The sequence below is a fragment of the Homo sapiens genome, chromosome 1, assembly GCF_000001405.40.
Source record: "Homo sapiens chromosome 1, GRCh38.p14 Primary Assembly".
NCBI classification, from domain to species: domain Eukaryota; kingdom Metazoa; phylum Chordata; class Mammalia; order Primates; family Hominidae; genus Homo; species Homo sapiens.
Window position 1 is genome coordinate 41,980,269 of NC_000001.11, and position 26,812 is coordinate 42,007,080.

Genomic DNA, 26,812 nt, shown 5'->3' on the forward strand with positions numbered 1-26,812 from the left:
AGTATTATTCATAATAGCCAAAAGGTATAAACAGCCCAAATGTCTATCTACTGGTGAATGGATAAACAAAACAAGGGATATTCATCCAATAGAATACAGTAGGTAGTATAATGAAACATACTGATACATGCTACAATGCGATGAATGTCAAAGGCATTCTACTAAGTGGAAAAAAAGAGACACAAAGACTACCTATTATATGACTCTATATGAAATGCCCAAATAAGGCAGATCTATAGCGACAGAAAGTAGACTAGTGATTGCCTGGGTCTGGGGATGGGGTGAAGATTGCCTACAATTGGGCACAACAGATCTTTTGGGGATGACGGAAATATTCTAAAACTGCAATGTGTGTTGGTTGCACGACTCTGAAATCATTATATTACACAATTAAAATTGGTTAATTTTATGGTGTCAAATTATACTTCAATAAAGTTGTTATTAAAATGGGGAAAGGGTGTGAATGGAACCGTCTGAGGGCCATGGGCTCGAGCTGTTTGATTCAGTATAACCAAGGCTTATTAACCCTAAACCACATGTCAGCGACAAGAAGTAGCAAGCTGTTTTCTTCTTTGATAAATCCCTTGACAGACAATTCAGAGGAACAGTCTCCTTGGAGCAGAGGTTCTGCTGCCAAGCAAATACTCCATGAGGAATGTTAGGAGGATGGGCCTGCTGGTGTCTGGGCCAGCAGGAGAGAAAGCAAGGCAAGACCAGTGCAAACCGTGCCCAGCAGGGCTAAAGTGGGTATCGTTGCACAGCTGGGCAAGCTTGAGAGAGGCCTGGCTCAGAAGCACACATCAGGATTCGCTTCTGCAAGGTGTGGGTGAGCTCTGGCAAGCTGGGCCCAGAGGCAAGGAGAGAAGCAAAGTCCTCCCCTTGTGAGAACAGTGAGGGTGGAAAGCAAACAACAAGAGGAAGAAGGTACGTGTCTCCAAAGGGAGCAAGCTCTTACAGGGAGCTTGGCAACATTTGCATCAGCCTGGTAAAACATCGAAATAACAACACCTAAAATAGCCCTATAGGAACCTTGTCAGAAAATAAAGGCAAGATTCCTGAAGGACTCTGCCTTCATCCCCACGGAGCTGGGAAGCAAACGGGGAAATGCAAACCCCATTTATAGGGTCACATTTGGAGGAGCCGGCTCCGTCGGGGGCAGGAGGGAGGAAGTGGTGGGGAGGCTCAGGGTGTGTCAGATCCAGCCTCCCCACCTCTGCTGAGCTGGCGGCTGGACTCAAGGCCTGCCACGTCTTCCTGCTCTGCAGTGCACTAGCTGTGTGACCTTCTGCAAACTGGGTAACCACACTGCCTCCCCACCCCATCTCCTCCAAGGTAAAGTGGAGATTTTACCTGCTGCAAAAAGTTGGGTGAGGACTGATGAGAGAATGAGGGTTGATAAGAGAAGGTAAGGCATTAAAGGTAAAGGAAATTGCGTTTTGTTATATATATAAACAGCTTCTCACTGCTTTCGCTGGATTCATCATTCTGGGACTTTCTGTCTTCTACATACTTTTAAAGGTGAAGGAAGAGAAGGGAAAATGTGAAAGACAATATTCCAGTCTCCACTGAATGTGTGGGCACTTCAGTCTCGTGGCAAGTTCAGGCCAAGGGGACAGCTGCTGAAATGTGGGGGTCCAGGGGCTGCAGAGGGGTTCTGCTGCCTAGCATTTAAAAGAAGAGGGAAGTAAATATTTCTGAGGTGAGTCAGTAAAAGTAAAGAAATGCTTACTTCTTGTAAATGAGAAGGTGGCAGATGAACACATGAGGGAATGGGCATATATTCATCCCACTTGTAAAACATACTTCAAAGGAGGTAGTTCCAACATCAATTTCTTTATCGTGGTACTTTATAAGATTTCCTTGTTTGCTTGGTTTTAATTAACAGCAACCATACAGCATTGAAAGCGAAGCCTTATCCATCATCCACGTCAAAGGGGCTGGAAAGGTCCGAATCCACCTGAATGACAACTAAAGTTTCGAGAATGGGAATGCAAAAGGGGATTCAAAGGTAACAAAATCCTTGTCCTTCCATTTTCTTCTTCCGCACAAACAAAAGCAGTTTAATGGCATTGATGGAACTGCGTCCCTCTCATCTTCCCCTTGCCTGCTGTTGTACTCAAAGGTTCCAGAATACATGAGCGCAGCCCTACCTTATTTTGATGAACAGCTACAGCCACAGCAGAAATCAACAGGGTTTGGAGAATAAATCTGATAAATCGTGTCCTTCAAAAAGAGGAATTTATGTAATGCTTTCAGTTTTATCTTGTATGACCTACCCATCATGAAACTGGGAAACTGTAATTTATTTATCCAGTGAAGACAAAATTGATTAACAGGTCAGTGTAAATGTCAGCCTGGGGGAATTAACAAATGTAGTTCCACCGGGTCAGTTCTTGCCCAGTACTATTTAACATTTCCATTAATTACTTGCCGACAGAATTGGTGATAGAATAGGAGGTGTATTATTAAATCTGCCAATTTTTAAAAAGTTTAAATATGAATAGGTCTTGGCCAATTGAAAGACAGGGAGGGACTATTTGGTATCCTCAAGGCTCTGCCTGGTACAGAGTAGGTGCCTAATAAATGTTAGTTGAATGAAACAAATGCCAACAATACAAAGTCTAGTGTGAGGGAGTCCCTAGAGCAGCGGTCCCCAATCTTTTTGGCACCAGGGACAACTTTTCCATAGACCGGTAGCAGGGGAACGGTTTCAGGATGAAACTGTTCCACCACAGATGATCAGGCTTTAGTTTGATTCTCAAAAGGAGTGTGCAACCTAGATCCCTTGCATGCGCAGTTCACAATAGGGTTCACACCCCTACGAGAATCTAATGCCCTGCTCATCTGACAGGAGGCGGAGCTCAGGAGGTAATGCTCGCCCACCTCACAGGCTGTGCAGCCCAGTTCCTAACAGGCCACAGACCAATAGCAGACCCCTGCCCTAGAGGAAGAAAAGGAGAATCATTAACAACAGTTTTTATTAATATCTACTATAAATTTAAAGCCCTATCAAAAATTACTTACAGCAATGAAACCATGACCGATCCAAATCAAGAAGATCTAGACATCAGTAATGCACAAAAATCAAATTTAACAAGCGCAAACATAAAGTAAGGAACATACTCATAGTTCAAAACATGATCACACTTTTTGTTATCCTTTTCCTTATGTGCAGGCAGACACACACATACACATACACATGCATAAATATATATTATTTCTGGAATATAAATGAGAAGAAAAGGTATGGAGGAACAACCACCAAAGATTAACTGTCTGTCTTAGCAGAAAATAGCAACAGCTAATAAAGGTGCAGCTGGGTGGAGAAAAAAGAAAAACAGTCATACCTAAGCCAAACCCCTGAAGCCACAAGTCACGCACTCCTAAGTGGCCGACTCACCAGCAAGCAGGATGGGATGGGATGTCAGAGCTCAAAAGCCATCAGGATACCAGATCCACCTCTTTCTCAGCTGAGGGGCTCCTGGAGTTTTGTTTGGTTTGTTTTTAATTAAAAAGACAGAACAAAAAGAAAAAAAAATGTCCTGATGATAAGTAACCTACTGGAAGGCTCCGTCTGCTACCCACCGTCCATAGGCAACAGCAGGATGTAACAAACATACAGCCTCTCATGTACAAAAGGGAGAATTCAAGTGATGCTCAGATAAAGAAGTAGAACAATGAAGAAAAAAAATCCATACTCATATTTTTTTTGAGAGAGAGAGAGACAGCATTTCGCTCTGTTGCCTAGGCTGGAGTGCAATGGCACAATCTTGGCTCACTGTAGCCTTGAACTCCTGGACTCTAAGCGATCCTCCCTCCTCAGCCTCCTGAGTAACTGGGGCAATGAAATTATGCACTTAGCTAATTTTAAAACAAGTTTGTTTTGTAGATACAGGGTCTTGCTATATTGCCCAGGCTGGTCTTGAATTCCTGGCCTTAAGTGATTCTCCCACTCAGTCTCCCAAAGTGCTGGGATTATGGACATGAGCCACTGCACTGGGCCCATACTATGTATTTTTTGGCCAAATAATAAACCTGGATAGAACTTTTCTTGAGAAAAAAATGAGCAAGCAGACAATACAGAAGGGCTATTCAATAACAACATTTTGTTATCTGGAGAATATGACCTGAATGGGGGAAAAAAGAGATTGAAACTGTCATATCAAAGTTGACATGATAGCCCTAAGGGAGAAGTGAGGAAAAAAGCAACCAACTCAGAACTCAAAGGTGCACAACAAATATCCAGACGTGGAATGCACATTTCAGAAAGCAAAGTCTGAAGGAGCACTGACTTGAGAGAAGGGAAAAGCAATCACCCAGAAGCCAGAGAGAAGGGATCGAACGTTTAAAACACAACCCCCATGGAGGACACATGGCAGAGAAGTTTAGTTTATTGTAAGAAAGCACACTGACCACTACTAGAAAGATCTGATTTTGCTAATGGACAGATAACAGGGGGAAGGGCTACTGCTGGCCACAGGATGGAGAGTTTAGAGGTAACTCTGAGACATCATTTCATTATATATCCCACAGACCACTTTCACATGCCAGGCACCCAGCTGGGCCCACAGAACAAAACAAATGAGGCTCCTGCCCTCTAGGGGCATATAATCTTATAAAGTAGCAGAAAATAAACAAATAAATACAATGATTATAAATTTTCACAGGTGCTATGTAAGAAATAAACAAGGCACTAAGTCAGAGGACTAAAAAAAAAAAAGGACCTGCTTTAGACAGAATGGCAGCGAAGGCCCTTCCCAGGGGATGACTGATTGATTGACTGGTTGGTTGATTGATTGATTTTTCCAAGGAGACAACTTTCAAGTTGAGATATGAAGGGTGGGAAGGAGCTAGCCATGGGAAGAATGGAAAACTAGTTCCAGGTTACGGGCACGTGAACTATGCTAAGCATGGTGAGTTTGAGAAGAGGATGGATTGTAGTGAGCAAGATGACAGTACCACAAAATGAGGCCTAAGAAGGAGGCAGGAGCCAGGACATGTAGAATTTTCCAGGCCATAGTACAGAACATGAAGAGTCTACTCTTAGTTCAGGCTGCTATAACAAATTGCCAGAGACTGGGTGGCTTATAAACAATAGAAATTATTTCTCAGAGTTGTGGAGGCTGGAAGTCCAAGATCAAGGTGCTGGCAGATCCAGCATCTGGTGAGGGCATACCTCCTGGTTTGCAGATGGCCACCTTCTTGCTGTGTCTTCACATGCCAGAGAGAGAGGAAGCAAACTCTCTTCTTATAGGTGTCTCTTCTTATAAGGGCACTAACCCCATCATGAGGGCGGATTAATTAATTCCCAAAGGTCTTACTTCCTAATACCATCCCATTGAGTTTAGGGTTTCAACATACGAATTTGCAGGGACACGAAGATGAGTTCTGCTAAATATTTCTTGTAAGTCCATGAAAAGCTGAGTTCCTCCTGTTTGTCAGATCTGGGGGCGAGGAACAGCAATAGCTAGAAGGAGGAAATGCCCAGTACTATCCCAGTTAGCTACAAAGGAGAGTGGCTCAAAGGAGGCCCTTGTCAGATGCTTGTCCATGTCTAGTTGGCTATGGAGTAGATTTGACTCCTAATACTGAAATTTCTAAAAGTTTTGCCTGGAAAACTTTCAGTGCAAGGCTAAACATTAAGTCTCTTCTGTGAATATGAAAGTCAGTTTTAAAAAAAAAGATCCACCCATGTTAAACCTGTCACAGATTTAGTCAATCTATTTCAAAGTTAAGATCTTTATAGACTAGGAGGCAGCCATCTGGAAAGTTTGTGGAGCCAAGATCTAGATCCCTTATCCAATTACATGATGTGGCTCAAGTCATGCTATCTGTACCTTAGTTTCCTCATCTTTAAAATCAAGGGAAGAGAATGTCCTGCTCTCTAAGGCCCTTTCAGAATCTAATATGTAGAAAATGTCTAAAAGATGAGAGCCTGCTTATATAACTATCTAGCTGAATGTTCAGAAGTGGAAGGAAATTTTGGTGCCAAACTAAAATAAACTGCTCAGGTTTTTCTTGCACAAGATGTAAAATATTATTTTACCAAAACATTATCATATTCATTTTCATAATTACAAGGCTTCCATGCATAACACTGAAGTTCTATAAGTATTTGTTGAACAAGTGGTACAGCTTTACTGACATTACACTTTTGTGTTGAATAGGACTTTTTTTTTTTTTTTTTTTTGAGACGCAGTCTTGCTCTTTCGCCCAGGCCAGACTGCAGTGGCGCTATGTCGGCTCACTGCAAGCTCCGCTTCCCGAGTTCCCACCACTCTCCTGCCTCAGCCTCCCAAGTAGCTGGAAATACAGGCGCCCGCCACCACGCCCGGCTAATTTTTTGTATTTTTAGTAGAGACAGGGTTTCACCGTGTTAGCCAGGATGGTCTCGATCTCCTGACCTCGTGATCCACCCACCTTGGCCTCCCAAAGTGCTGGGATTACAGGCGTGAGCCACCGCGCCCTGCCGAATAGGACATTTTTAACACAAATGTATTTATTAATTGCTGCCCATTTCATAAACTATTAAGATACTGTCCTTCCAGCAGAGTATTAAATGAATACTATTTATCAAATATATTTAAACACGATTTTTAAAAATATGAGTTAGTATTGGAGACAGAAGTTTGTATTCTTTAATTAAGAGGATCTCTAAGGGTAATCAATTATTCTAGATACTGCTTTGTATTGCTCATATCCCTGATCGACAAATATCTGTATACTGTACTATACTGAATTGTGTCTAAAGGATTCTGAGTATCTGAGATAATACACATTCATTTATACATTCTGCTAAATATTTATTTAGTGCCTACAATGTGCCAGACATCATTGTAGGTACCAGGAATGAGCAATGAATGAAACAATGTTTCTGCCCTCTTGAAGCTTACAAGATAGTGATAAATCTATAAACATAGAAGAATTAATATCGCTAAAATGACCTTACTACCCAAAGTAATCCACAAATTCAATTCCTACCACAAGTCCCATGACATTTTTCATAGAAATAGAAAAATCCCAGCAAACCACCATGGCATATGTATACCTGTGTAACAAACCTGCACATTCTGCACATGTATCTAAGAACTTCAAGTAAAATTTTAAAAAATAAAAATAAATAAATAAAAAAGAAATAGAAAAATCAATCTTAAAATTCATATGGAATCACAAAAGACTCCAAATGGACAAAGGAATCTTGAGCAAACAGAACAAAGCTGGAAGCATCACATTATCTGATCTCAAAATCTGCTACAAAGCTAGAGTAATCAAAACAGCCTGGTACTAGCACAAAAACAGACATAGAGACCAATGGAACAGAATGGAGAGCCTAGAAATAAATGCATGCATTTACAGTCAGCTGATCTTTGACAAAAACGCCAAGAACCCACATTGGGGAAGTGGTGTTGGGAAAATTAGATAGACAATTGAAATTAGACCCTGTATTAGTCCATTTTCACACTGCTATAAAGATATAAAGATTGGGTAATTTATAAAAGAAAGAGGCTTAATTGACTCAGTTCTGCATGGCTGGGGAAGTCTCAGGAAACTTACAATTATGGCGGAAGGGGAAGCAGGCACCTTCTTCACTAAGCAGCAGGAGAAGTGCACAAGGGGAAAGAGCCTCACACTTATCAAACAACCAGATCTCATGAGAATTCACTCACTATCATGAGAACAGTATGGGGGAACCACCCCCATGATCCAATCACCTCCCTCACTCAACACATAGGAATTATAGGTCGAGATGAGATTTGGGTGGGGACACGGAGCCAAACCATATCAGACCCTTATCTCATCCCATATATAAAAATCAAGTCAAAATGGATTAAAGACTTAAACATAATAAACTATAAAACTACCAGAAAAAGACAAAGGAGAAAAGCTTCTTGACACTGGATTTGGTAAAGATTTCTTGGATATGACCCCAAAAGCACAGGCAACAAAAGCAAAAATAGACATGTGAGATTGCATCACACTATAAAGCTTATGCACAGCAAAGGAAATAATCAGCAGAATGAAAAAATAACCTGAACAGGAGAAAATATTTGCAAACCAATCATCTGATATGGGTTAATACCCAAAATATATAAGAAACTCAAACCACTCAATATTAAGAAAATAAATAACATGGGCAAAGGATCTGAAAAGGCATTTCTCAAAAGAAGACATACATATGGCCACAGGTTTGTGAAAAATACTCATCACTAATCATCATGGAAATGTAAATTAAAATCGCAATTAGATATTACTTCACAACAGTTAGGATAGCTGTTATCAAAAAGATGAGAAATAACAAGTGTTAGTGAGGATGTGGTGAAAAGGGAGTCTTTCTACACTACTGATGGGAATGTAAGATAGTACAGCCATTATGAAAACCAGTAGGGAAGTTCCTCAAAAAATTACAACTAGAACTACCATATGGTCCAACAACTCCACTTGCAGGTATATATTCAAGGGAAATAAAATCAGTATGTTGAAGAGATATATGCAACTCCCATGTTCACTGCAGCATTATTTATAATAGCCAAGATATGGAATCAACCAAAGTGTCCATCAACAAATGAATGGATTAAAAGATGTAATATATATTGGATGAATGGAATATTATTTGGCTTTTAAAAATAAGGAAATCCTATCATTTGTGAAAACACAGATGAACCTAAAGAATATTATGTTAAGCTAAATAAGCCAGGCACAGAAGGGCAAATACTGCATGATCTCACTTGTATGTGGAATCTAAAAGTCAAACTCATAGAAGCAGAGAATAAAAATGGTGGTCCCTAGAGGATAGTGGGGGATGGGTTGGAGAGATGCTGGTGAAAAGACATAAAATTTCAGTTAGATGGGAAGAATGAGTTCAAGATATCTACTGTACAATATGGTGGTTATAGTTAATAACAACGTATTATACACTTAAGCATTGCTAAGAGAGTAGATGTTAAATGCTCTCACCACAAAACAAATGATAATTATATGTGTTAATGGGTATGTTAATTAGCTTGATTTAGTTATTGCACAGTATGTGTACATATATATATACATCACAAAATATCATACTGTACATCATAAATATGTACAATTTGTATTTGTCAATTTAAAAAATTAAAATCTACAAAAAATAAACAAGGAATCATAGAGCAATCTATATGGTAAAAAATGTTATGAACAAAATAATGTGGGATAGGAAGACTGCACTACACAAGAATAATATTTTATAGCAAGTGGTCATGGAAGGCTTCATTGATAAGGAGATATTTGAACAGAGTTCTGAAGAGAGTTAAGAAGTTAATCAGGAGGATAACTAAGGAAAGGGAAAAAGGCAGCCCTAGCTGCCATTTCTGTCCAAATTTACCTTATCTGTGTAGGCAAAACAACAACAAAAAAAGCCATAGTTTATTTTAAAATTGTATTAGACCAGAAGTGACCTGAAGTACTCAGCAAAAGAAAAAAAAATCAGAGACTAGGATTGCAACCCCTGCCTTTTTTTGTTTTCCATTTGCTTGGTAGATCTTCCTCCATCCTTTTATTTTGAGCCTATGTGTGTCTCTGCACGTGAGATGGGTTTCCTGAATACAGCACACTGATGGGTCTTGACTCTTTATCCAATTTGCCAGTCTGTGTCTTTTAATTGGAGCATTTAGTCCATTTACATTTAAAGTTAATATTGTTATGTGTGAATTTGATCCTGTCATGATGATGTTAGCTGGTGATTTTGCTCCTTAGTTGATGCAGTTTCTCCTAGTCTCGATGGTCTTTACATTTTGGCATGATTTTGCAGCGGCTGGTACCGGTTGTTCCTTTCCATGTTTAGCACTTCCTTCAGGAGCTCTTTTAGGGCAGGCCTGGTGGTGACAAAATCTCTCAGCATTTGCTTGTCTGTAAAGTATTTTATTTCTCCTTCACTTATGAAGCTTAGTTTGGCTGGATATGAAATTCTGGGTTGAAAATTCTTTTCTTTAAGAATGTTGAATATTGGCCCCCACTCTCTTCTGGCTTGTAGGGTTTCTGCTGAGAGATCTGCTGTTAGTCTGATGGGCTTCCCTTTGAGGGTAACCCTACCTTTCTCTCTGGCTGCCCTTAACATTTTTTCCTTCACAGACTTTAAACCAACAAAGATCAAAAGAGACAAAGAAGGCCATTACATAATGGTAAAGGGATCAATTCAACAAGAAGAGCTAACTATCCTAAATATATATGCACCCAATACAGGAGCACCCAGATTCATAAAGCAAGTCCTGAGTGACCTACAAAGAGACTTAGACTCCCACACATTAATAATGGGAGACTTTAACACCCCACTGTCAACATTAGACAGATCAACGAGACAGAAAGTCAACAAGGATACCCAGGAATTGAACTCAGCTCTGCACCAAGCGGACCTAATAGACATCTACAGAACTCTCCACCACAAATCAACAGAATATATATTTTTTTCAGCACCACACCACACCTATTCCAAAATTGACCACATACTTGGAAGTAAAGCTCTCCTCAGCAAATGTAAAAGAACAGAAATTATAACAAACTATCTCTCAGACCACAGTGCAATCAAACTAGAACTCAGGATTAAGAATCTCACTCAAAACCGCTCAACTACATGGAAACTGAACAACCTGCTCCTGAATGACTACTGGGTACATAACGAAATGAAGGCAGAAATAAAGATGTTCTTTGAAACCAACGAGAACAAAGACACAACATACCAGAATCTCTGGGATGCATTCAAAGCAGTGTGTAGAGGGAAATTTATAGCACTAAATGCCCACAAGAGAAAGCAGGAAAGATCCAAAATTGACACCCTAACATCACAATTAAAAGAACTAGAAAAGCAAGAACAAACACATTCAAAAGCTAGCAGAAGGCAAGAAATAACTAAAATCAGAGCAGAACTGAAGGAAACAGAGACACAAAAAACCCTTCAAAAAATTAATGAATCCAGGAGCTGGTTTTTTGAAAGGATCAACAAAATAGACCGCTAGCAAGACTAATAAAGAAAAAAAGAGAGAAGAATCAAATAGATGCAATAAAAAATGATAAAGGGGATATCACCACTGATCCCACAGAAATACAAACTACCATCAGAGAATACTACAAACACCTCTACGCAAATAAACTAGAAAATCTAGAAGAAATGGATAAATTCCTCGACACATACACTCTCCCAAGACTAAACCAGCAAGAAGTTGAATCTCTGAATAGACCAATAACAGGATCTGAAATTGTGGCAATAATCAATAGCTTACCAACCAAAAAGAGTCCAGGACCAGATGGATTCACAGCCGAATTCTACCAGAGGTACAAGGAGGAACTGGTACCATTCCTTCTGAAACTATTCCAATCAATAGAAAAAGAGGGAATCCTCCCTAACTCATTTTATGAGGTCAGCATCATTCTGATACCAAAGCCTGGCGGAGACACAACCAAAAAAGAGAATTTTAGACCAATATCCTTGATGAACATTGATGCAAAAATCCTCAATAAAATACTGGCAAAACGAATCCAGCAGCACATCAAAAAGCTTATCCACCATGATCAAGTGGGCTTCATCCCTGGGATGCAAGGCTGGTTCAATATACGCAAATCAATAAATGTAATCCAGCATATAAACAGAGCCAAAGACAAAAACCACATGATTATCTCAATAGATGCAGAAAAAGCCTTTGACAAAATTCAACAACCCTTCATGCTAAAAACTCTCAATAAATTACGTATTGATGGGACATATTTCAAAATAATAAGAGCTATCTATGACAAACCCACAGCCAATATCATACTGAATGGGCAAAACCTGGAAGCATTCCCTTTGAAAACTGGCACAAGACAGGGATGCCCTCTCTCACCACTCCTATTCAACATAGTGTTGGAAGTTCTGGCCAGGGCAATTAGGCAGGAGAAGGAAATAAAGGGTATTCAATTAGGAAAAGAGGAAGTCAAATTGTCCCTCTTTGCAGATGACATGATTGTATATCTAGAAAACCCCATTGACTCAGCCCAAAATCTCCTTAAGCGATAAGCAACTTCAGCAAAGTCTCAGGATACAAAATAAATGTACAAAAATCACAAGCATTCTTATACACCAACAACAGACAAACAGAGAGCCAAATCATGAGTGAACTCCCATTCACAATTGCTTCAAAGAGAATAAAATACCTAGGAATCCAACTTACAAGGGATGTGAAGGACCTCTTCAAGGAGAACTACAAACCACTGCTCAAGGAAATAAAAGAGGATACAAACAAATGGAAGAACATTCCATGCTCATGGGTAGGAAGAATCAATATCATGAAAATGACCATACTGCCCAAGGTAATTTACAGATTCAATGCCATCCCCATCAAGCTACCAATGCCTTTCTTCACAGAATTGGAAAAAACTACTTTAAAGTTCATATGGAACCAAAAAAGAGCCCGCATCGCCAAGTCAATCCTAAGCCAAAAGAACAAAGCTGGAGGCATCACACTACCTGACTTCAAACTATACTACAAGGCTACAGTAACCAAAACAGTATGGTACTGGTACCAAAACAGAGATATAGATCAATGGAACAGAACAGAGCCCTCAGAAATAACGCCGCATATCTACAACTATCTGATCTTTGACAAACCTGAGAAAAACAAGCAATGGGGAAAGGATTCCCTATTTAATAAATGGTGCTGGGAAAACTGGCTAGCCATATGTAGAAAGCTGAAACTGGATCCCTTCCTTACACCTTATACAAAAATTAATTCAAGATGGATTAAAGACTTAAACGTTAGACCTAAAACCATAAAAACCCTAGAAGAAAACCTAGGCAATACCATTCAGGACATAGGCATGGGCAAGGACTTCATGTCTAAAACACCAAAAGCAATGGTAACAAAAGACAAAATTGACAAATGGGATCTAATTAAACTAAAGAGCTTCTGTACAGCAAAAGAAACTACCATCAGAGTGAACAGGCAACCTACAAAATGGGAGAAAATTTTCGCAACCGACTCATCTGACAAAGGGCTAATATCCAGAATCTACAATGAACTCAAACAAATTTACAAGAAAAAAACAAACAACCCCATCAAAAAGTGGGCAAAGGACATGAACAGACACTTCTCAAAAGAAGACATTTATGCAGCCAAAAAACACATGAAAAAATGCTCATCATCACTGGCCATCAGAGAAATGCAAATCAAAACCACAATGAGATACCATCTCACACCAGTTAGAATGGCAATCATTAAAAAGTCAGGAAACAACAGGTGCTGGAGAGGAAGTGGAGAAATAGGAACACTTATACACTGTTGGTGGGACTGTAAACTAGTTCAACCATTGTGGAATTCAGTGCGGCGATTCCTCAGGAATCTAGAACCAGAAATACCATTTGACCCAGCCATCCCATTACTGGGTATATACCCAAAGGACTATAAATCATGCTGCTATAAAGACACATGCACACATATGTTTATTGCGGCACTATTCACAATAGCAAAGACTTGGAACCAACCCAAATGTCCAACAATGATAGACTGGATTAAGAAAATGTGGCACATATACACCATGGAATACTATGCAGCCATAAAAAATGATGAGTTCATTTCCTTTGTAGGGACATGGATGAAATTGGAAATCATCATTCTCAATAAACTATTGCAAGAACAAAAAACCAAACACCGCATATTCTCACTCATAGGTGGGAACTGAACAATGAGATCACATGGACACAGGAAGGGGAACATCACACTCTGGGGACTGTTGTGGGGTGGGGGGAGGGGGGAGGGATAGCATTGGGAGATATACATAATGCTAGATGACGAGTTAGTGGGTGCAGTGCACCAGCATGGCACATGTATACATATGTAACTAACCTGCACAATGTGCACATGTACCCTAAAACTTAAAGTATAATAATAAAAGAAAAAAATAAAAATAAAGAAAAAAAATCCTCTCTGGAGAGAAGCATGTTATCTTAGGCCTCAAATAATTCCCACAAATTATTTTTTAAGGACAGTGATAGACTTAGCAAAAAAAAAAAAAAATACCCGAGCAGCCTAGGAAACAATGTATTATAAGCAGAAGCAACATCAGCAGAAACAGATAAGCCAATGCTAGCAATATTGGAATTATGAAATTGATGCGATTTGGCGCTATGTCCCCACCCAAATCTCATGTTGAATTGTAATTCCCAATGTTGGGAAAGGGACCTGATGGTAGGTAATTGGATCATGGGAACAGGTTTCCCCCATGCTGTTCTCATGATAGTGAATGAGTTCTTGCGAGATGTGATGGTTTAAAATTGTGTGGCATTTCCCCCATCACTCTCTCTATCTCTCTTGCTGCCATGTGAAGAAGGTGCTTGCTTCTCTTTCACCTTCCACCATGACTGTAAGTTTCCTGAGGCCTCCCAGCCATGCTTCCTGTTAAGCCTGCTGAACTGTGAGTCACTTAAACCTCTTTTCTTCATAAATTACCCAGTCTCAAGTAGTTATTTATAGCAGTGTGAAAACAGACTAACACAGAAATGCAAACTATAAAACAACTATGCTTATCATGTTACTATGTTCAAATATATAAAGTATAAGCCTATCTGCACAGAACAAGGATCTGAAAATGACATCAAAGATTTGAAAAATAACCCGAGAGGCTCCAGAAACTAAAAGAAAAAAAAGGATCAATGACTGGGTTTAACAAGAGATTACACATTATTAGAGAGAGAATTAGAAATTACCTAAAATATTTCAAAGACAGACAGTAACAAAAAATATAAAAGAAAGTCTAAGATACAGAGAGGAAAAAGTCCAACATACGTTTTATTCAGAGTATAAGAAGGGTGAGAGAATGGGCAGAAGAAATATTTTAAAAGATAATCACCGAGAATTTTCCAGAACAAATGAAAGATGTTGATCACGAGTACCCAGTGAAAGGCCCAGTGAAACCCAATCGCACTAAGTGGAAGAAACCCACTCCTAGACACATCACAGTGAAACTTCACAGAATTATGACAAAAGTAACAGAAGTGAGGGGGAAAAGAAAACCAGAGAAAATTAAGATTACCTTCAAAGAGTGTAGTTGTCTTCCCAGCAGAAACAGTGGAGGCTATAGACAATAAAATGATATCTTCAATGAATTCAAAGAAAACAATTGCCAATCTAGAATTGTATTATCAGTGAAAGCATCTTTCAAAAATGAGAGCAAATAAAGCCATTTTCAGACAAAAACTGAATTTGCTACCAGCAGACACTCTCTAAAAGAAATTCTGAAGAATTTTCTTCATGAAGAAGAAGAAAGGTGATCCCAGATGAAAGATCTGAGATACAATAAGAAAAGCAGAAAAAGTAACAAAGATGTGGATAAATCTAAATTAACACTATTTGCATAAAACATCAAAAATGCCTTGTCAGTTAAAAAAATGATAGGAATAAAATGCATGACAACAATAATTTATGATCAGGAGGGAGGTAAGTGGAGTTAATGTGTCCTGGGATCATTGTATCATTCAGGAGGAAAATAAAGGTATTTTGAAGTAATTTTAGACTTTGATGAGTGAGATATGCCTATTGTCTCTTTTTGGGTTCATCTCTTTTTCCTTCAGCTCCATCACAGCATCAGTCCAAATCAGCTTGTAACATTAACCTCCAGCAGAGGCCAAACCACACTTGCCTCTAGGCAGTGAGATGTTTTGCCTTGGTTCACGTATCCTCACCTCCTCCTCTGCCTCAACAAATCACCCCAAATTTACTGGTTTAAAATAGCCATTTTATTAAGCTCCTGGAATCTGAGGGTCAGAAATTTTGGCAGAGAACAGCAGAAATAGTTTCTCTCTGTGCCACTATGTCTGTGGTCTCAGCTTGGAAGATTCAAAGAGCTGGGGTCCAGAGGCAGTGGCTCACACCTGTAATCCCAGCAATCAGGAGGCTGAGGTGAGAGGATCAATTGAGGCCAGGAGTTCAAGACCAGCCTGGCCAACATATCAAGACGTTATTTCTATTAAAAAAAAAATAGCTGAGCGTGGTGGTGTATGCTGTAGTCCTAGCTACTGGAAAGGCTATAAGGTTAGAGGACTGCTTGAGCACAAGAGTTTGAGCTTGCAGTGAGCTATGATCATGTCACTGCACTCCAGCCTGGGTGACAGAGCAAGAACCTATCTCAAAAAAAAAAAAAGAGAGAGAGAGACAGAGCTGGCAGTAACTCTAATGGCTAAGGGCTGGACTCATAGAGTCCCATAGAGATAACTGATATATCTGACACCTGGGCTGGGGTGGCTCAAAGGTGGGGCTCCTTTGAGCAGCTGACCAGAGCACCCATGCACAGTTTGGGTATCTCATAGTATGGTAGCTGGATTCCAAGAGGTAGCATCCTGAGAGGAAGGATGGGAGGATCCAGGGAATGAACATTCCAGGAGAACCAGGCTTTTCCTGACTTAGCCCTGTGTATTAATTTCCCATTCTTGCTATAATGAATTATCACAAACTTAGTGCCTTAAAACAATACAAATTTACTATCGTACAGTTTGGGAGGTCAGAAGTCTCACATGGATTTCACTGGAATAAAATCAAAGTGTGAGCAGAGCTGCATTCCTTCTGAAGACTCAGGGGAAAATTTGTTCCCTTGTCTTTTCCAGCCACCTGCATTCCTCGGCCCATGGCCCCTTCTACCATCTTTGAAGGCAGCAGCATAGCACATCTTCGAATCTCTCTCTGGCCCTGAAACTCTTGTCTGTGTCTTATGAGGACCCTTGTGACTACATTGAGCCCACCCAGATAATCCAGGATAATCTTCCAGCCTCAAGATCCTTAACTCAATCACATCTGCCAAGTCCCTTTTGCCATATAAGGTAACACACATTCACAGGTTCTGCAGATTAGGATGTGAACATCTATGGCAGGGGGAGGGAACATTATTCTATCAACTACACCTTGGGAATCACATAGCATAGCATCATGTCCACAGTAAAGACTGGTCAAAATTGTCACAGCCAGCTCAGATTCTAGAGTAGGGGTCATAGACCCAACCTCTCAATGGAAGGAGTGCCAATAAATGTGTGGCCATGTGGCCTTGGTTTGAAACTACCACGCCTTTCCTGTTGTGGCTGCTCCACATTGGCTAACGGGGGAGGAGCTTCACCCCCATTTTTGACTCAGCAACACGAACATGAAAAGAGATGGACAGTCCAGCAGACATTGAAAGGGGGCAAAAGATACGCCATGCAGTTGCACTTCGTGTAAATTTTAAATAGTATCACATACAAAATTAATAAACCTTCTCTTTATGCACAGTTGAAGCCAAGAAAATCTTACTTTATATTTATTCCTAACTGAAAACTAGACTCGAATTGTGCAAGTTTTAAATTATGTGAGTTTTTTAGGAATGCATCCTCTGCATAAAATGTGAATATGCTGTACTTGTTCTAATTCTCTAAGGACCAAAACACCATATAACATGAAGAAAGAAAACAGAGAAGATGTGAAAATTACATCCAACTTTGAGCATAAGGATTAAAGAATCACCAAATGATTAACTTCCCTCAAAATACAAGTTTCCCATGCTGTTTGAATTGAAGGAATTTTTTTCTGTTGAAATCAAGCATTATTAGTAAACAGCAGTTGTGAGAACTCGAAGGGGCTAAATTGTAGGCTTTGTTGGAAACAGGCCTGAATAGAACATATTAGCATAAATTGTATTTTTATGGTTAAGCTGCAGTGTTAAATATCAAACTGTGCTAAACGATTGATTCCATACAGCTGCTAAATTGAACTACCTGTTATATCAGTTTAGTAAATTGTCAAACTTAGAGAACTCAGCAATTTAATGGATGTGTTTGTAAAATATCCTTAGGTACCCTGGCTTAACATCAAGAAACAAACCACCCTCTTAGAGTGTTAAAAGTCTGTCTGTTAAAAAAAAAGATTAACAAGGGGATAAATATAAGATTAATTTTTAAAAGGAAAGCCAATATACTATAAAATGAACATAATATGTTCAGTTCATAGTTCATGTCAAAAAAGTTCACATTCTATCTTAATTTTCTCTACATTAAGTATTAAATAATTTTTGCCTTATCACTATATTATCATTCAGGACACTGGATACTGAATTTTGCCCAGTTAAACTCACAATCACTATGTCTCCTTCCACTTTTGACTCTGGATATTTGGCATATTTAATCAAATGAGGGGTGAAAATTAAGCAAAATGATGTCATGTCATGATGTCATACTTTTTGCTAAATTTTATATATTCTTTAGGAATACTGAGCATTTCAGATAGGTCTCTGCCTTCTATCTTATAATGGATGTTTGTAAACCACACAGCAGATATTTAATATCCTGAGAATAAATACCTTGTGTATGGCTTAGTTCTGTCAAATGTAAAATTAAGCATAAATATTAGTATTGAATGCCAAAGCCAATTGTTGAAAATCAGATCATAAAAACCCTTATTTGAGGTCTATTAACAACTGACCATTTGAAATAATCAGGGATTAATTAATAAATGGTTTGCTTATGTCTTTTATATAACAAGAAGATTGTTAGAAAATAAAATAAGCTATCATTATCACTTCCTTCATGTGATTTTGCCACTCTTATTTTGATAGCATCTACATAATAGAGAATCATTTTTGCTGGTTTTTAATACTTTTCTCTCTCTCTTTTTTTTTTTTTTTTTTTTTTTTTGAGACGGAGTCTTGCTCTGTCATCAGACTGGAGCGCAATGGTGCGATCTCAGCTCACTGCAACCTCCACCTCCCAGGTTCAAGTGATTCTCCTGCCTCAGCCTCCCAAGAAGCTGGGACTACAGGTGCATGCCACTACACTGAACTAATTTTTGTATTTTTAGTAGAGAAGGGGTTTCACCATGTTGGCCAGGATGGTCTTGATCTCTTGACCTCATGATCCACCTGCCTCAGCCTCCCAAAGTGCTGAGATTACAGGTGTGAGCCACCACGCCCAGCCATAATACTTTTTTCTAAGTATAAAAGCAACGCATGCCCCGTACAGAAAGTGTAGAAAATATAAACCAACTAAACAAAAAAGTTAAAATCCTCCATAATAATTTATTTTAAACACCCTGAATCAGATTCTCATTCTTGATCATTAAAGGCAATTAGAATTGGAGAAAAGAAGTGAGTATAAAAATTAACTCATAAAAGTGCTAGAGGGAGATACAGGTGATTTTAATGGGCACCTCTCTACAGTCCCACCCCCAAAACCCTAATTAGGAGAAGACCAAGTTCGCAGCTCACATCAATGGGCATTCAAGTCAGTGCCATTAGAATCTCAAAGCCAGGATGATTCCAGAGGACACATGGGTCACTTGGACAATTGAGTATAACACACTACAAATTGAGATAAATAGAGAAAAATTAAAGTGCTATGGGAACCCAGAAAGGAAGGGAAAGGATCTGAGCAGCAAGATCAAAGATGATTGCAGAAGAAAAACATTTGAATGGAACTTTGAATGGTGAACAAGCCAGCAAGAACCTAAGAAGTCAAAGGGAACAGCATTTCAAAGAGAGGGAACATAAAGGAAGGCACAGAGTGGTGAAGTCCAATATGAATGGTTCCATCATCAGGTCACAGAAGTACCTTGCTGGCCCATTCTTAAAGCAGCAAAAGAGTCAAGCCACGCAGCAAATTGATCCATTCTTTTTTTTTTTTCAAACTTTTATTATGAGGCCATATTAGGGAATTCTAGAAAATCTAGTGTTATTAAATATGTCCAGACTCTACTAGTGAGGAATCTTTTAATCACAGTTGACAGAAACCCAATTTAAACTAGCAAAACAAGTGGGAATTCATTAATTCATAATTGAAAACTTAGTGTGTAGACTGGTTCAGCTAAAGCTGGACCTAGGTACTCAAATGATCTGGTTGTGTTTCTGTTTCCACTTCTCTTTCTCTGCTCTGCTTGTATCCACTTCTCTTTGCATGTTAGTGTTACTCTTTCCTACCATAGATACTCTTTCCATATCCCAGGAAAGGTAGCTTCTGGTGGGCCTAGGCCAACATCCTTACAACTTGCTAACATAAATGAAGAGAATAGTCTTCCCTCAGTAGATCCAGGAGAAGAACCCCCAGGGGGCACCTTTGTAGCCCAGATTGGACAAATTGCCCTTCCCTAAACCAGCCACTGTAAATGGAGGAATGTAATACTACAGCTGGCCCACTGCAGGTCACTGCCCATGTGCAAGGGCAGGAGGAGGCACAAGTCACCTTCATGGACAGCCCCACCAAGATCACATGAAGTAGAGGAGCAGGTTCCCAAAGGAGAAAGAGGAGGATGGGAGAGTATGCTCAGTACATGACAGCTATAACTAGCACAGTTGATCTGCCAGGTATCTGAGGACTCCCTTCCATCTCAGCAGTGGGGATACATCACCATAAGCCCCAGACAGTTACTTGGGAAGCACTGCAGATGGATGACAGTTCTCCTGCAATATACAATGATGAGAAATATACTAAAGACACTTTCAAATCAGCACCCAAAAACCCTCCTGACAAAGATTTTTCTCCCAATACTCAAAATGGAAGACTCTATTGAATTTTAAAATAGAGAAGCAGAGCAACCAATCGCTCCCCAGCTCCTCCCCTAGTAATAAGAGTCACCTGTTTTAGCTCTTGTGTCTTACATTAGCATATTTGAAATCTGGTCATTTAAAATTAGATCATAAATGGAACAAGCATCCATATGGCACTGAGGATGTGCCAGGCACTATTCTAAGTGCGTTACATATAGTAATACTTGCAACAACCCCATGAAGCATGACCTACTATTATTTCCATTTATGGCTGAAGACGCCAGAGCACAGAGAGGTCACACCACATTTAAGATTTGAATCCAGGTGGTCTGATCCAGAGTCTGTGCTCTTTACCCCAAGGTTAGACACAGAACCTCTACTCCAGATAGGTCATAATGTAAAAATGGTGAGCAAGGGAACAGGAAAAAAGGGACACACTGAAAAAGAAGAGTCTGCAACAGAATAAATAAGCAGATATAATATTAGTAACATAACCTAGACACTGAACTGTCAGCTCAGAAGCATAAGTCTGTCCGCGTAGCCCCAACATTGTCTATGGAGGGTGTGAGCAGTCTGGTTTAACAAATCCAGGTTAAAGACTCATCACACTCTACTGGCATGAAAATATCCTCTCCTTTTCCACAGATGCTGTGCCCATAAAGGCAGCCTGGTGTCTGGAGATAACCTCACTACACAGTGCCTGATACAGTGTCTGCTACATTGTCATGCTCAATAGTGTTCCTTTAATTTTCCTTAGGAGAGCCATAAGAGCTGAAAGACTAGATTCAAGGATCAAGTATTTATTGATTACCTACTATGTACCAGACCCTGGGCTGGGCCCCGAAGACACAGCAATGATGAGACAGGCACAGCTATGCACCCACAGTATCTTCCACCAAGCCTGGCTCATCACACACTTAAGCTGAGGTTAATCAGAATTTTTGGCATCTTTTACAAGCAGCCCTGGTATCTAGATGGTATACACCTGTACAGACATACTGCTTGGTAAAATATTGAAATATTTTGTACTACTTGATAAACAGTCACTGCCTAAGTCTCCGGGGTATCTCACCACTACCCCCACCCTGCCCTGACCCCACTCTCAGGAACCCCAAACATTCCCCATGATCCATCAACTGGGGGGTAGCCCGGGCCTGGCAGGGGACACCCAAGCCCCCATTCCAGCATATGTCCTGCACTTGTTCTGATTGGTGGGCACCAATGCCCCTGCCTGTAATCACTAAAAGTAGCCCCAAATCCCCCTTTCCACAAGCTTTTAACTCACACTTTTCTGATTGACTGCCAGTTCTCTTTAGAAACGGTAGGTCTTTATTTTTAAAAAATAAAATAATAAAATAAAATAAAGGAGAATCATCAGACACACAATGTGACAATTAGCAACTGTCTGACAATGACTCGCTGACGCAGAGGACATCATACCAAGATGGGACCAAATTACCTCCTCCTCCTCTGCCACCCACTGCAGCTTCTATCAGCAGATACCTTCAGAACAGAGGCCCCAGTGACAGGGACCCAGATGGCCCAGCAACCAAGGGAACGGGCAGGACCTTCTCACCTTCCCTGGCCTCTCACAGACACAGACTCCTGCTGGCTGTGTCAGTCGCGAAAGAGTGCAAACAACACCACTCAGGGAGTTTCACCCATCTGCCCACATGACACCTCGGTTGCTGGGAAATCCCTGTACCTGTCCAGGTGCCAGGAAAGATCAGGACTGGCTCTGACAGAGATCTTCAAAAACCAGACTCAAAGGTAGTAGGGTTCCCCATGAACACTTTGTTCTCAACCTTGGCTGCCCCTTAGAATCACTCAGGGGTGCTTTTAAGATATAGATGCCAGGCCCCAGCCAATTCCATCAGCAGATCCAGTGGGGCCTGCCATGGCTTAGGGGACTCCAGATATGGGAACTGCCTCCAAGGGCCAGTCAGATGGACCCCTGGGGTTCCACTCTCCTGTACAAGTCAGTAGCCCAAAAGGGAAACATCCAGACATCATTCTGGCTCCAGGTTCCCCCTCCCACCCTGCCCACATGCTCATACAGCAGATGGAGCTTTGAGAGGTGTCCCCTTTCCACTGGGGGAAAGGTCCTGAGAATAAAGGGTTCTGGCATTTTACCCGCACATGGTAGCTGGACAGTAAGGACAAGAAATACATTTATTCAAATCCTAATATGAGACTGTGAGTTTATTAGCATCATTCAGTATTATCTTTTAGAGATTTCTGGGTTTTTTTTGTTCTAACTGCTAACTAATATTTTTAAATATCTAGAAATTAATATTTAAAGCTGACTTCTCTTTTTTCTTTTTTTTTAATTTTTGAGATGAAGTCTTGCTCTGTTGCCCAGGCTGGAGTACAGTGGCACAATCTCGGCTCACTGTAACCTCCACCTCCCAGGTTCAAGCGATTCTTCTTGTCTCAGCCTCCTGAGTAGCTGGGAATGCAGGTGTGCACCACCACGCTCAGCTAATTTTTGTATTTTTAGTAGAGATGAGGTTTCATCATGTTGGCCAGGCTGGTCTCGAACTCCTGACCTCAGGTGATCCACCCTCCTCTGCCTCCCAAAGTGCTGGGATTACAGGCGTGAGCCAACGTGCCCCACCTAAAAAGCTGACTTCTCAAAAACAATATCATACAAAAGAATAAAACATAATATAAATGAGCCCCTGTTGTTTCTGAGCTGTTTTCCAAAGCACCCTGTCCTTTACTCAGCAAAGAGGTCCTTGTCCGTGCACATCGAAGTCGACTGACAGAGCCAGAAGGGAGAACAGTGGCGACAGAAGACAAACCACCTTGGGAGCAAGTCCCCCAGGCACTCCTTCCTGGCACAGATCCTGAAATCATGCCCCTCCCATGAGGCTGCCCAGATTGGCAGCAAACCAGGCCATTGAGTTCAAGAACCTCCAGAGGTCTCCTTTCTAAAGAAGGATCACATTTCCTGTGCTGCTGACAAGGATTATAAGGTGCAGGGAGGTAAAGGGGCCAAGTCAATAGGCAAATGTCTTTTTAGGGCAAAAAAAAAAAAAAGGCACTCTCGTCACCTCAAGAGTACAGTAAAGAGAAAAAACCTCGGACATGCCTCTGGGGGAGACATAAGCTTGAGATTTTTAGTTAAATTAAGCTGCTGTTAAATGTGTCGTTTTTCTGTCTCACAAATTTTGCCACCAAAAAAAGGAACAAATCAATGCAAATGTCTCAGGTTAGGTACTAAATCCGGGCAGAGTGACAAGGCATCTCATGTTGTAGGTCACCCCTCCACACTGCAACTGCCAAGTAAGGAAAGGAGGACACAACCTCACTGCCACCTCTCCCAGCAAGTCCGCCTTTGCAAAGTGGACACCAACCAGGTGGTGGAGCAGGCCCCAGGCATGACCCAGGAGGAAAGAGGAGAGGAAAACAAATCAAGGAAGCAAATCAGAGAGCTCAGGAAGAAATCAGAAGCACACATGTTCAAAACAGGTAGAGCCCACATCCATCCACTGTAGGCATTCTAAGCCTTAATATGTGGCAAAGACAGCAGGGGCTCATGACTTCTGATTTTCTCAGTCAAGGGCAAAATGTATCCTCCCTATTTTAATAAAAAAGCAAGATTTAATTATGTTTGCACATCCAGTGGTTCTAGAAATAAGGAAGAAAGGGGAGCTTTTTTTCATTACTTTTGTATATCACCGTCTTTCCAAAAACCTAACAACTAGGTGACGTGGGCAGCTGCAACCTCTCTGAGTTACTATTGCATCATGGGGCCAGAATGGTTGCTTGGAAGGCAAAGGGTCAGAACTGCCGACCGCTTGAGCTCCATACTGTATGATCACATGAACTCTTCAGGAATGTAAGTTACTTATATAAAGATATGTTCCCAAGCAAGTTGTCAATACATTATACCTAAAAATACACCATGGAACTATTAGGAAAATCCTATCACCTATTGAGCAGTGGTTCTCAAAGTATGGTAACCAAAGCAGCAGCAGCAGCATCACCTGTGAACCCATTAGAGCTGCAAATCCTCAAGCTCCACCCTGGACCTACTGACTTAGAAACTCTGGGGGTGAAGCCTGGCAGTCTGTGTTTCAAGTCACCATTGTGATCTTGATGACTGCTACAGCAACTCATTTAGTAAGCAAAATAGCTCCTAACAGATGTGTTTCAAATATTAGAGTTTGCTGTAAATATGTCTGTCGCCTAGTTCTAAATCCTTTGCTTCGAACGGTCAATATCTGTTTCAGAGGGGACAGGAAATCCCCACGCTGGCCTCCTTGCTGTCCTGGACACTCCACCTTAGGGACTTTGCCCTGGCCATTCCCGCTGATGGGAGCACTGCCCCCTCCACCCTACCCCATACAGGGCTTGGCTTAAATGTCATCATCTCAGCAAGGCTACCCTGTATCCCTGATTCCCCTTACCTTGCTCACTGTTCCCAAAGTATTTTGCCCTTCTAAAGATCTATATAATTCACTTACTAATGTACAGGGCTTTCTGTATGTCTCTCAAGTGGAAAGCAAGTTGCTGTCATGGCAGTCTGTAATGCCCAGCACATAGTAGGTGTACACACACAGACACACGCACGCACACATACATATATATGTATACATGCACATATACATATATATGACACACACATGTGTATATATATACACACATATGTGTATATATATATGTCTATGTGTATATATATCTACACAGATATATATAATGAATAAATGAGTCAGGCAAATTCCAGGATAAACCTTTGGGTGCACAGCCTTCATTTATTTTGTAAAGGCTCAAACGATGGGGGGCTACCTTTATAAACTGGAGAGAAGTTTCCATCGCCCATGGAGGACCCCAGTGTTGGTTCCCATGCTGCATCTTTCTGAAGATATCTGAATGGTTGATAACCTTGTTTTGCAACCAACATTCAGGAAAGAGTAAGTTGCTGGAATTGCACTATGAATCACTAGTGAAGATGCTGCTTGTAGAAATCTTTGCTATCAGTTGAATGCACTACTCATCTGACAATACTTTCTTTCAAATAAAGCCTTCAACCATGTTTAAAAATTGCACAACTATTAGAGGTAACTAAAATTTAATACTTTTGCTTCTAGCTTAAAGTGAGAAATGTAGAATTGTGCCAAAAGCTGATAATCTCTTCTTGGCTGGTTCAGTGAGAGTGGTTTAGAAGTAAGGTCTCCAGTCTTTCATAACTAGTTTCTTTTTTATGATTTTCCTGGGAATTTCCAGTTCCAGATATTTTTCTATAAAACAGTTCTACACAGATAGCTTTAAGGTCACGACAAGTTAAAAATGAATGCTGACCATTAGAAAAGATCGTTGGATCATTGCTAGATGTTTTCATGCAATCTTCCCCATTTCCTCCAGATGATAAAACCATATGAAGCAAAACTTGGAAACCAAGATATGACAGAAGACCAAGCTAAAAACTACAGGTGTGTCTTTCAGTGTGCATGTGTTGCATGTGTTGGTGTGAGGGGTGGAGGGTGGGGGGAGGCTGAAAGAGACAAGGAAAGAGACAGGGACGAGAGGAACCAATGAAATAAGGTGTGGGAAAGTACCCTGCTAACTGCAAAGCACCAGAGCAGCGGTTCTGAAACTCTCTGGTCTCAGGACCTCCTTACATTCTTAAAAATTACTGCAGACCCCAAAGAGCCTTTGTTTATGGGGTAATATCTATATTATTTGCCATATCAGAAAGTAAAACAAAAATTACTAAAATATTTATTAGTTCATTGTCAATAACCTCATTACATGTTAACATAAGTAACATATTTTATGAAAAATAACTATACTTTCCAAAGCCAAAAAAAAAAAAAAAAAACTGTGAAAAGAGTGGTGCTGTTTCACACTTTAGTGAGTCTCTTTAATGTCTGGCTTAATAGAAGACAACTGGATCCTAAAATCTGCCCCTGCATTAAGTTTGTTGCAATGTCATAGGTCCTGTGACCTCTGTAAAGCTTCACTGTACACCCGTGAGAATGAAAATGGAAAAGGCAAATTGCATCTTAGTATTATTATAAAAGTATTTTTGACCTCATGGATCCCTGAATGGGTTTCTCAGAGACCCCCAGGGACCCCTAGATCACAATTTGAGAATGACCGTACTAGCCAAATGTTATCGACTTATTTCCTATTTAGAGAAAGATAAACTGAGACTGAGAGAGAGGAAGTTCTATGATTTACCAAAGGTCACAGCAGGGAGTGGGAAGGAAGGCAGCATAACTTAGGCTAACTTCTGATGAGTACTCTCAGCATTGGACTATATGTGTTTCCACGTGTACAGAAGCTTCTGCCTAATCTGAGTTTTTCTGAGTAA

At 40.4% G+C, this 26,812-nt stretch overlaps 1 protein-coding gene and 1 long non-coding RNA gene across 2 annotated transcripts in view, besides 1 other annotated feature; one reads left to right on the top strand and one right to left on the bottom strand.

Moving 5' to 3' along the window:
- The window catches only part of HIVEP3 (HIVEP zinc finger 3), a 529,570-nt gene that overhangs the window by 473,904 nt on the left and 28,854 nt on the right, over positions 1–26,812 (bottom strand). The window lies entirely within an intron of this gene.
- Positions 1,264–16,750, top strand: LOC124904160 (uncharacterized). Its single transcript, XR_007066031.1, has 4 exons — positions 1,264–1,405; positions 1,519–1,699; positions 1,886–2,008; positions 16,595–16,750. It is a non-coding gene; the product is annotated as an uncharacterized LOC124904160 (long non-coding RNA).
- Positions 22,141–22,220: an enhancer, noted in NCBI's record as "active region_891". NCBI's record gives its function as "activates an Ori minimal core promoter by ATAC-STARR-seq in GM12878 lymphoblastoid cells {active_cell/tissue: GM12878}" and the evidence as "EXISTENCE:reporter gene assay evidence [ECO:0000049][PMID:35858748]".